At 37.7% G+C, this 14,432-nt stretch overlaps 1 protein-coding gene across 6 annotated transcripts in view; it reads left to right on the forward strand.

Moving 5' to 3' along the window:
* Positions 1-14,432, forward strand: part of PDLIM5 (PDZ and LIM domain 5) — a 216,282-nt gene that overhangs the window by 176,020 nt on the left and 25,830 nt on the right. For all 6 annotated transcript variants that reach the window (NM_006457.5, NM_001256426.2, NM_001256427.2 and 3 more), the window contains one exon: positions 12,315-12,489. In NM_006457.5, the coding sequence (NP_006448.5) occupies positions 12,315-12,489 (175 nt within the window). The remainder of the gene's footprint in view (positions 1-12,314; positions 12,490-14,432) is intronic.

Here is a 14,432-nt window from a genome sequence, read left to right on the forward strand (position 1 = left end):
ATCTAAAACGTTGTATGTACTAAGTAGTTGTTGAATGAGTGGATGTTTTATTTTTTAACTATGTAAGATCTTATGTCAGAGTGTAATAATAATTGACATGTATGAAGCATTTCTTACAGATTCAAGGAAGTATAAGTAAACACTTTTACTACTTCATTGAATCCTCTCACCCTTTGAGGTAGTTATTATTGCTGTTTTACAGATGAGGTAACTTAAGACCCAGAATGATGACATTTCTAACATCACAGCTAGAAAGCCCAGAACTAGGAGCCTATGTATCTTGAAATTTAGTTTTTATGCTAGATGTGCTGCTTCTTCCACCATAAAATAGCTGACCTACCATCTCTGCTTTTAAAAGATGCTAAATTCAAACATAACTTTGAAAAATGATAAAGTATCATTTATTTTGGAGAGCTAATGACTTTAATTGAGAGATATCTTAGAGAATTAGTGGTAGTAATAGAAATTTAAGGAGTATCCCAATTTTTAAATTTTACAATAACTTGTATTCATCATTAGAGACGTTGTAGATATTGACATTGAGAAATCTTAAAATATCTCTTTTTTTTTTTCCTGCTTCATTTTTTTTCCCCTACATGATTAGAACTCTATTTATGTGGTCAACTTAAACTGTAGGTACCTTTCTCCTTCATTTCTGAAATTAGGCTGCTTTCTTATTTGTATAAATAGTTGAAAATTGGTGGGAAAATGGTAAAAGCCAAACCCATGTAGCTTTCGTGTGACTTTGGAAGTAAGACATGTCAGAACTCTAGACATAATATGAGTATAAAATGATTTTAATGTATGTCCTTATGGTTTTCTCATCCAAATATGAGCAAAATTGTACAAATTTAATATTTTAAATATATTCTAAGCTTACAAAGTCTGCATGAGTTTACCATTGATCCTCTTTAGTATTCCTGAGGTCATGCATTATGTCTCAGTTTTGTTTTGTTTTTTTAATATTTCAATTTTATTCTTTTTTATTTCTTTTCCTTTTTTTAAGAAAATGAAGCCCATTGGCCTCCTACAATAAAAGCATAGACTTGTCTTCCCACTCTAAGTAGAAAATGGAACAGTGATATTAAGATGATTTAGAAGATTCTGGGCCAGGCACAGTGGCCCATGCCTGTAATCCCAGCACTTTGGGAAGCCAAGGCTGGCAGATCATTAGGTCAGGAGATTGAGACCATCCTGGCTAACATGGTGAAACCCGATCTCTATTAAAAATACAAAAATAAGCTGGGCGTGGTGGCGTGTGCCTGTAGTCCCAGCTACCTGGGAGGCTGAGGCAGGAGGATTGCTTGAACCTGGGGGGCGGAGGTCACAGTGAGCCGAGATCGCGCCACTGCACTGTGCGAGACTCAGTTTCAAAAAAAAAAATAAAGAAAGAAAGAAAATTCTGTGTGTATATTGTGGTAAATAATTTGTTGACTTAATTGAATGCTGGTAGAACCAGATATGTTAAGATCTCATATCTTTATCTTCAGGGTACATACTGGGTTGCTTTTACTTGTATCTCTGACCAAATGGAAGTTTTCTATATAAGATCAGCTAGGAGAAAAAGGCATGAATTTTGGTTATGTGTGATATAAGAAATTAAAAAGAGAAATGAACATAATCCAAGTCCCCACACTCACTTTAATTAAGATATTGTAGATCCAGTTTAATCTGCGTTCTTAAAGTTGAAAGGCTGGTTGCTAATGGAAGAAGCTAGCCTCCTGAAGATGTGGAAATATTTGATACTTAGACTTGGGTGCACCTGTTCCAGTGCTTTATAGCAAACATACCAGCATTCTCCACTGCTTAGAGAAATGGTAATAGTTTAATCTGTCCAATTTGCTTTTAATCACTGATTTCATTTTTTAAAAATTGCACAATCGTCTCCAGAATGTACTTTCCTCTGATCCCAGATCTTGGCTTAACTGTCTCCATTTCTGTTGGATATGATTTCATGCCTGGATTATGAAGAGTAGACTATTGTTTAGGCTTTCAGCATAAGGAGCTTGACAGACAAAATGCACATATTCTTTGCTTCTGTTGGCCACCATCTGTTTGAGATGGCTGGGGAAGGGGCAGAGAAGAAAGCACTTGCTGCACACAATAGTATGCAAGCATGTTGCCATGACTGCTACCCAATTTAGTATGTGTAAAATTGCTACCATACCACTGAGAACATATTTCCTGAGATGTTGAATTACAATACTTTATCTCCCCGAGAGTGCCACTTTGATGTATCCCAGTTATTTATACAAGCACAACATTAGCTTCAGTGTTTTTAACAAGAACACCTCTTGCAGTTGAGCCAGTTGTTTTTCACACCATAAAATCTCACTTATGACCTCTGCCTTGTTGGGGCTGTCAACATTTGTCTTTTGTCAGGGGGAGTATTAGTATCCATTGATTGATATATATATGTATATATTTTTTTAAGACAGAATCTCACTCTGTCACCCAGGCTGGAGTCCAGTGGCGTGACCTGGGCTCACTGCAACCTCTGCCTCCTGGGTTCAAGCGATTCTCCTGCCTCGGCCTAACAGTAGCTAGGATTACAGGCACGCACCACCATGCCCGGCTAATTTTTGTATTTTTTCATAGAGACAGAGTTTTGCCATGTTGTACAGGCTGGTCTCAAACTCCTGACCTCAAGTGATCCACCCATCTCAGCCTACCAAAGTGCTGGGATAATAGGCGTGAGCTACTGCGCCCGGCCTAGTATCCATTGATATTTTCAATATCAGCCTTTCTTCTGACTTAATGAGAATGAAGTATTATAGGATTTTTAAAATAAGGAATCAAAATGTATTTTATAGTTATTCCTAGATTTGTCCCCATAACTTTCTTTGCTGCTTTAGCTTAATCCAAATGTAGTAGTTGAAGTATTCACACCAATATGAAGTTTGTACAATAAAATAGATTTAGTACTTTAAGCCTGTTTGTCCTTAGCAAAAGTATTAGATCTATAATTATGTTTCTCATTCTGTTGCCCAGGCTGAGGTGCAGTGATGTCATCACAGCCCACTGCAACCTTGAGCTCCTGGACTCAAGTTATCCTCCTGCCTCACATCCCTGAGTAGCTATAGGTGCATGCCACCATGCCAAACTTTTTTTTTTTTTTTTTGTAGAGATGGGGGTCTCACTGTGTTGCCCAGGCTGGTCTCAAACTCCTAGCCTCAAGTGAGCCTCCTACCTCAGTTTCCCAAAGTGCAGGGATTGCAGATTTGAGCCACCACACCTGGCCACATTTCTCTTCTAAAGCAATTTATGTAAATTCTCCTAAATGTTTCTCAAAACGTGAAGAATACAGCCTTTTATCCTTAAGTTTTATTTCAGGAACCTTGCAGCCATTAATTATAATGGCTAAAAACTTTGGGCAGTCAGGTTTATGGAAATAAGTAGTATTTATCTAAGAAACTCATATTTTACAGAATACATGAAGGGCTTAAAAGTGATAATCTAAGCTGTTAAGAGACTTCAAGGAAAATAAAATAATAACGCCTTCATACATTTTTCCTACATTTATCCTAGCAGGCTCAGTAAGGAAATTAAAATAGCAGAAATAAATCACCTCAACTATCACTATCCCCTCCTCCAAACTGGTCCAGAAGTGAGTACTAGCAGGTTTAGATCACATTTAAGGAGCTCTGACTTCATATTTTAATGAATCAAGACATTAACTGGCAAAGAACTCAGCACACAGTAGGTCCATAATAATTATTGATGAATTAATGCATAAGGACATAGTTTTTGGAGTGAAATAGACATGGTTTTGGATCCCGGATTCTCTGCTCCCCTCCACTGGCTTCCGTGACATACTCTTCTGGTTTTTCTCCTGCCTCTCTGTCAGTCCCTAAGGTATTTGTGTTATTTGCTTTCCGCCTAAGGAGCTCTTCTGTTTTCATGCTGTACTTTCCCTGAAACAGTCTCATTGACTCCCACAGACTCAAATGTCGTCAATATGTTGGTGACTCTTGAATCAATTCTTCTAGCTTAGATACTTCTCCTGAGTTTTTATATTCAATAAATGATCTGTACAGGCGCCTCCAACTTTAACATGCATGTGCTGTCCTCCACTGTGAACACACGCATAGCGTAGCGCCTGCCGCATTACAGGCTCTTAGCATAAACTTGTGAGTGAAACTCAGCATTTTCCCACCTTTCTGGCAGTTATCCCACTATAATATAATTGACTGTTTACTGGCTTATAACCTTCTTTAAACTCAGTAAGGGCAGAAATCATGTTTGTCTTGTCCATATTGGTAGAGCCAGTGCATTGTTTGGTACATAGCAGTTGTTCAAAAAACATTTGCCTCATTTCGTGATTCTACATGTTTTGGGGCAAGTTACTTATCCTTTCAGAAGTTTATATTCTTGATCTGTTAAATAGTTGACAGTACCTTGAAATGTTGTTGTAAAGATGAAACAATTCAGTTATTCACTCTTCAAAACTTTTTACTATAGAAAAATGTTCAAATATATGTATCTGCACTCCAGCCTGGGCAACAGAGTAGAGACCTTGTCTCTAAAAACAAAAAAATTAAATTAGAAACAAAGAAAAAAATTACTGTGTTGGGAGATGTGTGGTAGGGAAAATAATGCCCCTTTACAGATGTCCATGAACACAGAACTTGTGACTATGTTATGTTATATGGCAAAAAGGAATTAAGTTTGCAGATTGGAGTTAAGATTGCTTGTCAATTGACCTTAAAAATGGGGAGATTATCCTGGTTTGACCCAATGTAATCACAAGGGTCTTCAAAAGTGGAAGAGCAGGGAGGCGGAAGAGAGGATCAGAGTGATACTATGTGAAAACAATTCAACCCATGCTTGCTGGCTTTGAAGAGGTGGAAGGGGCTTTGAACCAGAGAACTGGGCAGCCTCAGTTTCCCTAGAGTCTTCAGAAAGAAAAATAGCCCTACCAACACCTTGATTTTGACCCAGTAATATCTGTGTAGGTTAACTGTTAGGTTTAGGTAATAAACTTGTGTTGTTTTTAAGCCAGTAAGTTATTAGTAATTTGTTACAGTGGCAATAGAAAACTAGTGATCAGATAATCAGAAAAAAATTGAAAATTGGGTATTTCATGATATTAAGGAATATTTTTAAGTGTGATAATGGCATTATGATTATGTTTTTAAAAAGAGTACTCTTTTAGAGATTATATTACAATATAGATTAAATGGCGTATCTTGAATTTGTTTCAAAATAGTTCAGAGATGGCCGGGGAGCGAGGAGTGGAATATTAATGAAACATGATCAATTATGAAGCAATGATTAACAAAGCTTGATTTTTCCATTTATTAAGTTGTACTAGTTTTTCAAATAATGAATTGGTTCCTTAGCATCTTCTATACCTAAGCAACGTGGATATTTTTTTAAATTCTAGAATCATTGTAAACTCATAGACTTAGATACATTTGAAGTATTTCAATCCATTGTAGTTATTATTTTTATTTTTCTAAATGCTGAAACTGTCCCATCTACTTCTTCAAGTTATTTTGATGCAACTCTAGGAGTCTTTAACATTTTCCTTGCTTTCTAATTTGACAAGACATTCCAAACTCTCCTTACTCATTTTTTGCCCCAATCCTAGAATCAGCAATTTCTCTAAGACGTCTGGTTCCCTTTAGTAGAAAGACAATAATTCTGGTGCAGGAGTCATTTTTTCTCTGAATAAGGACTTACTGAGCAATATGCCAGGGACTGCTGGGTGCTAGGGATAGAGCAATGTACAAAATAGATGGTGACCCTGACCTCAAGGTAGGAGAAGACAGATAATAAACAATAAAAAGAATATAACATGAGTGCTGTAGATAAAGAGAAACTGCTGAGGAATATTGGAACTGCTGCTTTGTGGGGAATGGGGTGCTGTTTTGTATAGGATGGTCCAGGAAAGCTACATTGATAATACGGCCTTTGAGCAGAGACCAGAAGGAAGTGAGGGAGCAAGCCGTGTGAACAACTGGAGAAAAGATTTCCAGGCAGAGGGAACAGAAAGTACAAAGGGCCTGAATCAGAAGCACGCTGGCCAGTACAGAGGAATAATCAGGGGGCCAGCATGTCTGGGATATAATGGGCAAGGGGTAGAGTGGCAGGAGATCAGGTCAGAGAGATAGCAGGGGTCAGATGCTCTAAGACCTTTGGTTTTAGTGCTGAGTTAAACGGTCACTATTGGAGGGTTTTGAGCAGAGGAGTATCTGTTCAAAACCCTCCAATTATATACTGACTTCATTTTTACTGACTTTTTTGTTGGTGGCAAGAGTAGAAGCAAGGAGATCTACAGGCAGTCACTGCTCTAATCCAACCAAGAGATGAAGATGGTGGCTTGGACCAAGATGTACTATGGAGGTGGTGAGACATCATTATGTGATGTGTTTTTTGTATCACCATGAGCAGTTCATCTTCCAACACCAAACTTGCTCTCCTGCTGATTATGTTTAGCAATACAGAAGCACTACTTCTAATAAGAGTAAGCTGCCTTAGAAGACACTAGCAACATCTGTTACTGTTTAAGTTTGTTCTTTGGGATATCATCCCCCATTCCCAGCTGACTTAAGTTTCCAAGTAAAGTTTGACAGGATGTAGTATTTTTTTCGCATAGTGTATGTCGGTAGTAAGAATATTTTATTGGTAGTTGAAATTTTATTTGAACCACAGAATCAACTGATTAACTTCATGCCTATTCAAGTACAGTCTGGCCAGGTGTTTAATCTATGCATTGTAATCCTCACTACTGTCTTTTAAGTGTGTTGGTTTAGAATTAACAGCTATTATGAACAGGAACAGAGACCAAAAATATCAAATAACCCCCACTTTATTCTTAATCCGGTGAGAAAACATCTGTTTTCAAAAAATTCACACGTACTACCGGGAACTTGATTGATTTTAATTAATATTTTCTTACTGGAAACTCTAGCAACTCTGTATATTGTGGATTAGGTATATTTTACTGGACTAACTTAACAAATTTATACATTGTATGCTGAGAAAGTTTTCTGGTATGTTGCTAGGTTTTCCAGTAAATTTATGTTTACTTATTTAATGGTAATTATTGTAATCTTAGGTTTGACTATCAGTGTTGAAAATCCAAAGAAAAGATTAAATATGAATGTTATTCTGAACCTTTAGAAGACTCATAAATAGCAATTTTAAAGTTAACGAAAGAGATTCTCACCAACACTATTGGTTTGGAGAGAAGCTAATGGATTTGAATTTCTAGTTTTCTGGTGGTGAAATGTATTTGGTACAAAAGAAAAAAAAAGTAATTTTCAAACAAGCTCCCAGGGAGTAGAGATTAGCCATAAAAGAAGCCAATATTTAATGAAAGTTGCTCAAGCCTTGAGTCAAGAACCAATTTCCTCCTGATGTTCTCATTGTGACAGTTTCCTGACTTGCTCATTATTCAGTTCGAAAAAGTCACACTTTTTGTGACTTACATTCCTAGATTGTGAAATGGGGCTGATTCAACGCTCCTGTTTAATGTTATCATTAGAACTTAAAAGAAAAAAAAAACTGTGATGACAAGTAGATTGTCATCCTTAAGCTATCTCTAAAGAGGTGTATTTTTCTTTCTACATAGAAGTAAATGGTTTTTGCAATGGGTTCAATGCATTTGGAGCATTTTAGAGGTCAATGTGCTACCCATGGAAGACTGGTTTTCTTTGTATGGTAGTGTAGTTCTCCACAAAATTATAATGGAAGCAGGGCTCATTTATGGTGCTTCCCCTGTCCCAAGACCTCACCCTGTTACACGTCCCTCTTCCCCGTAAGCCAAGTGAGCAGAGACTAGGAGGCTAGCACTTGACTGCTCAAAGGTTGCCCATTCCTGTGCTAGAGCGGTGGTGAGAAATTCAGTCTGAAGAAATGAAACATCACTTTGTTCATACGGGAAATAGCTGTGCCGTGGAAATGTTCAGGACTTGGTAATTAATAGAGCTTGTGTAGCTTTGTGTGCAGGCCAATGTGCTAGCAACACAGCAACAAATGGAGGTGTGAGAATTTATTTCATATCCAAAGTGGTTAAAATGGGGCAGTAACGGAAAGCAAGGCTTTTCTTCCCAAGAAAGGAATAGCGGTAGAACTTAGAGCCTTTTTATGTGTGTTTGAGATACAGTCACATGTTTCATGTTTAAGAATGGCTTCTCATGCTAAATAAGTTAGTTCCCCGTATACCTTCTCCTTGAGGCATGGGCCAGATGGATTATGTCCCATTTTACAATGACTGATGGAGAATTACCACACTCTTTTATTGCTAAAAGTATCTCAGTGACTCAGTACTTTAGAGCTTATGCATAGATAATGTGATAAAATAAAGGCATATGGTAGATGAAAGGGTTTGGCTTTCTTTGAGGTCTGATTTTCAGATTTTCCAATTGGTTACTTTCCCATTATTTGAAATCCTGAACCTAATCCACATTTTTAAAGTATCTATCTCTACAGTCTTCTTTAAAAAGGCAAAAAAAAAAAAAAATTGGGAATCTTCCTTTTTTCATGTAACTGATTAAATAATATTTTTTCATCATTTATTTGTAAGGTAATTTTTTGGCTGTGGATAGAAAGAAGTATATAGAGTTCGTACTTTTTTTTTTTTTTTTTGAGATGGAGTCTTGCTCTGTCGCCCAGGCTGGAGTGCAGTGGTGCGATCTTGGCTCACTGCAAGCTCCACCTCCCGGCTTCACGCCATTCTCCTGCCGCAGCCTCCCAAGTAGCTGGGACTACAGGCCCACCACGCGCAGCTAATTTTTTTTGTATTTTTAGTAGAGACGGGGTTTCACCGTGTTAGCCAGGATGGTCTCGATCTCCTGATCTCATGATCCGCCCGCCTCGGCCTCCCAAAGTGCTGGGATTACAGGCGTGAGCCACCGCGCCGGGCCACTCATTTTTAAATAATTAATAATTAACTTAGGGAGGAAAAGATATTGACAGGATATTGATAAATAGCTAATAAATTATACAGGTGAGGAGTGTTACTTCTAGCTGGGGTGGTCAGAGAAGACTTGGGAGAAGAAAATGAAACTTCTATGGGCTTTACAGAATGGGAAAACTATGAGTAGCAGTAGGAAAAGGGACATTTCCTTGGCTGAGGGTCACAGAGGCAGTGTCTGGTGTGGCATGTTCAAGGGATAGTGAATAAACTATAGCATAGTTTAAGAGCAGACTCTGGAGCCAGACAGCTCAAGTTCAAGACTTTTACTTGCTATGTGACTTTGGGCAGATTTTTAAACCTCTCTTTGCCTCAGATTCCTCATAAATTAAAAAAGTGGTACTAATAACAAAATCAAAGGGCTGTTGTAAGGATTTAAGAATAGTGCCTTCAAGATCAGGCGTGGTGGCTGATGCCTGTGGTCCCAGCACTTTGGGAGGCTGAGGCAGACAGATCACAAAGTCAGGAGTTCGAGACCAGCCTGGCCAACATGGTGAAACCTCATCTCTACTAAAAATACAAAAATTAGCCCAGCGTGGTGGCAGCCACCTGTAATCCCAACTACTTGGGAGGCTGAGGCAGGAGAATCATTTGAACCCTGGAGGTGGAGGTTGCAGTGAGCAGAGATCGTGCCGTTGCACTCCAGCCTGGGCGACAGGGCGAGACTCCGTCTCAAAAAAAAAGGAATGGTGCTTTCAAATAGTATTAAATAATTGCACAAGTTGAGTATTAAGTAACTCTAATTTAGTCTGAAGATGATGGCAGTGATATGTGGGGAAACAGAAAGGATAAGGTTTTACAGAAGATTGGAGTGGGCTTATTGAGGGACTTGACTTTCAGGACTACATATAGTTTGTAATGAGTTACAGAGGCTTTATTTTAGAAGCAGGAACATATGATCAGAGTAGTGTTTTTGGAAAAATAATCTAGCAGAATAGGTAGAAAGGGAGACTGGCAGCAGAGAGTGGTTAGGAGACTTGCAATAGTCCAGATTTGAGGAATTCAAGACCAGAATTCAAAAGATAGAGGGTGGGTTTGGATTAGAACGGAAGGACAGACCTGAGAAAGAAACATTTTCTATGAAACAGTTGTTAGGGTCTGGGGACTAACCCTTGGGGACACAGGAGGCCGAGTTCTGTGCCTGCGTGAGTGGGAGAATTCTAGCATCTAGGCGTTCTTGGCAAGAGCTGGTAATATGTGCAAGAAGAAGAAATACATTTTACATTTCTTGAATTTAAAGATAATAACAGGTGTTAGAGTTGAAAACGTCCTGGAGAAAACATATTTGGTGCTCCAGAAGAAATCAGGCCTGGATAAAGAAATTAAAGATGCACAGAGGTAAGAGTTGGGCTGTGTGAGCAAATTAGGTAACAAGAAAGTAGTGTACCAAGTGAATATTACAGCACTTTTCTTTCCCATTTCTGTAAGAGAAAAGTGTGGGTCTAAGAGAATGGAAACATGTTCCTAGTCCAGTTGACTCACTTGAAACATGGGCAATAATAGAGCTCCCTGGCCTGAAAGTGGCGTTTCACAGATCGAGTGCCAGGCAGTGCACTGTAGAAGATGTGTGAAGTGTCTATAAATGCTGGGTTTCTGGATCTGTAATTGCACATTATTGCAAACAGGCTTTATTCTAGTGAGGGAGAATTATCATATCAATTATCCTAATTAATCTTTCCCAATTCCAACTACACTTTAATATACTGTCAATGTGTTTTTACATATATATGTATATTTATGTAAATACATTTATCTGTATACACTCTGTTAATTTGTATTATTTGTATGCTTTTCTTAAAAGTTGTTCCTTTTGGACTATTTTCACATGCACCTTTTCTCTTCCATTAGATTTTAATTGCCTGTGGCTAAGGAGCAGACCATCTGTTGGTTTCAATCCTCACTGTTTTCTCATTCATTCACTTTTGTATTGATTCCAGTTTATTTATTCATTCATTTATTCTCTCCAGACACTGTTAAGTTGCTAGGGTGCTGAATAAGACATAATTTCTGCCCTCAGGGAGTATACTATCTAGTTAAGGGAAGGAAAGGCACAGAAATATATAGCAGAAACAGTAACACATTAACAGAAAATTATGAGAACACAGAAGAGAAACATTTAATCCAGATTATATGGAGAGCGTTGGGGAGAAATGTAATTCAGGGAGAGTTTTTGGAGTAGTCGACTTCTGGGCTGAGACTTAAACAATAAAGTAGTGGTTACTAGGTAAATAGGAAGAAGGGTAGAAAATGGCATTACCGATGGTGAAAACAGCCTGAGCATACATAGACCCATTCACAAGAAAAAGTGAGGCAGTTTAGTGTTCTTGGAGCATAAAGTGAAAGGCAAAGAGCAGTGTAAGATGAGGTTGTGGGGCAAGCAGAGACCACTGGGGGGATTTGTATGCAGCACGTGGAAGCAGGGACTACATTCAGGGGTCAAATAGGGAGATCCTTAAATGCTGTTGGGTCAGATTTCAGTCTTAGGTGGCTGTTGAGAGGATGAATGTAAGAAGGACATTTCTGGTAGCTGGTCGAGGTTGGTGACGTTGAGGATCTAAATTAAGACAGTATTATAGGAATGGGGAAGAGGAGGCAAAGTCAAGAACAATGTGAACTATCAAACCAGCAGGACCTATTACTATAAATGAGAGGGAGGAAGGACCAAGGATGCTTCTTATGTAGCTGCCTTCTATTCCTGGGTGACTGGTTGCACAGTCTCCTTAGAGAATCCAGGAACAGAGAGAATATAGTGAGTTAATTTTTGGTTTTGTTATCTTCAATACATTGGGATTTTTAATACATCTATGACTATATTTGGAATTAAATCTAATTAATGGTTAGCAGAGATGTCTAGAGAATTAGAAATAACTCACCTTCAATATTTACCTTAACCATGTCTTCTCGTAGAAGCAGAGGTATGTATCACCTGAGGTCAGGAGTTCAAGACCAGCGGACCAACATGGAGAAACCCCGTCTCTACTAAAAATACAAAATTAGCCAGGCATGGTGGTGCATGCCTGTAATCCCAGCTACTTGGGAGGTCGAGGCACGAGAATCGCTTAAACCCAGGAGGCGGAGGATGCAGTGAGCCGAGATCATGCCATTGCACTCCAGCCTGGGCAACAAGAGCGAAACTCTGTCTTAAAAAAAAAAAAAAATTCTATGCATACGTCTGTCATAATTCTTTTACTTTGTTGGAATCTTTGGTTTTCTTTCCCATTTACCTACATAGTCACAGCCTAGTGTTTGATTCATAACCTCACTGTAAATGTGAGTGAGTGAATAACAAGTGAATAGATTACTGTTAAAATAATAATTTTTATTATTTGATTGTTAGGAAAGGTTTATATGTGGCTTATTCTCATTCTGATTCTTCTGTTTTAACTCCTAGTACCTTCCACTGGAAGAATCTCAAACAGCGCTACTTACTCAGGATCAGTGGCACCAGCCAACTCAGCTTTGGGACAAACCCAGCCAAGTGACCAGGACACTTTAGTGCAAAGAGCTGAGCACATTCCAGCAGGGAAACGAACTCCGATGTGCGCCCATTGTAACCAGGTCATCAGGTTGGTTGTTTTTTGAAATTTTCTTGAAAGTACTTAATATCAATGTTGGGTTTTTTTTTTTTTTTTGCATTTGGAAGTATGTGTAATGTAATTAGTGAAAATATTCTTGCCATAATCCTATAGAGTACTAATTATTGAGTAAATACGAATATCTATCTATGAGAATCTATTTTAATGAAAGGTAATACGGAGGTCTGTGAAAATAAAAGTACTAATTGCGTTCGTTATCAGTTATCAATTCCTATTAGAACTAAGGAAAAAGTGATTAATGTGGCCTTTCAGAGAATAATAAAATTTTAAGACTCAAAGGGACCCTGAAAGTCATTTATCCTAATTTCATTATTCTACAAATTATAGAAGTGAGGACATTCATTTAGATGAAAAATAACTAGTGACATTAAAGAACTTTGAGCCTTAGAGAAAAAGATGATTGGATTTTTGAGTACACAAGCACTGAAAGGTACCTTCAGACCTATTCATAAATGTTTTGAATGTTAGATTACGTAATGACCTGCTTCTTTAAAATACGTTTTATCCCAATCTATTTTATTGTCTCTTAAATTACAAGAAGAAAAAGTCTCAGATCTTAAGAATGCACTGTACTGCAGCTTATTGAATCTCTGAGTATTTCTGAATAAGGGGCTTTTAGAATGTTAGGTGGTGTAGGCACCAGTGCTGATTGCAGGCATCCCACCCAAAGGACCTTGTTGCACTTCGTGAGTTGCCTTGTTGGCAATAACAAATGGTCCTTTGAAGTGACTTCTCAAGCTCTCTTCTTTTTAAATTTATCCTACTTTGAAATAATTGAAACAGTGGCTTCTCTAAAGTTGAATAAGGTTAAAACTTAATTGCATTTTCATCTCTTCTATTACATAATTATAGCATAATGTTTCTAGGTAATATTTAAAATGGAGTCAGGAAACCTCAATACTTCATTTAGAGTCAAATATAAACACCCCTCTCTTTAGCCTACTATTAATTGAATAATATATGTGTCAAGAACATAGCACACAGTATGCCATTCAAAACTGAATAGTTTTTTTGTTTGTTTGTTTTAAAGGTAGTCAATGTTCATTGTGACGTTTAAAAAACATAGAAACACAGAAAACAAAAAACAAAGTTCACACATAATCCCACCTCCCAAGGTAACCTCTATTATCTGTTTTCTTTCAGACTTTTAAAACATTCACACATAAGGACAGATATTATTTTACAAAAATGGAATCCTAATACAGTATTTTGTAAGCTGCTATTTTTCCTTTAAATTGTATTTTTCAGAGTGAGCACCTGCTTAGTAAGAATTAGCCAGCAGCAGTGGTAGTAGTAATAGTGGTTATGGGGAGAAAGGGAAAATCAGTAAAGGTTTCCAAAGTCTAGAGCAGTATTCAACACACAGAAGGCATTCAGTAAATGTTTAACTGCATAGATCATGCATGACTCTAGACCCATTCATCATTTAGGCCATAATGTCAATTTGGTTAGTCATTTTCCTGAAAGTGCTAGTATGGGGTCTCTGTCTTATAGAAATATTTAAACTAATGTAAGATCTGGTATGTTGCTGCTTTATCCTAATAAAGAAAACAATGTTTTAGTACTACCTGCATTTAGCTGTTATATTTTTGGTTTAATATCGATAAAATAGAAACAAACTCTGACTTGTAACATTGCTTCTGTAAGTTACAGTACTTTGGTTGCCTAGACTGATGCTTAGGGATACTATATTCTGGATAAAAACACCTTTGTGGAGACAGGAGTCACTGCTGTTATTTGTATGCTATTGTAAGCAAGTAATTACTGGGTGAGTTAACAAAATGTCATACCACATCAGTTGCTGATTCATGTTGTGTAGTTATCAAATTCCATGATATCCTGTAATCACCACTTCCGGCACTTCTAAAAAACTTACTTAATATGGAGAAAATGTGAAGATCAAAGTAGAAATT

The sequence above is a fragment of the Homo sapiens genome, chromosome 4 (assembly GCF_000001405.40).
Source record: "Homo sapiens chromosome 4, GRCh38.p14 Primary Assembly".
Taxonomy (NCBI): domain Eukaryota; kingdom Metazoa; phylum Chordata; class Mammalia; order Primates; family Hominidae; genus Homo; species Homo sapiens.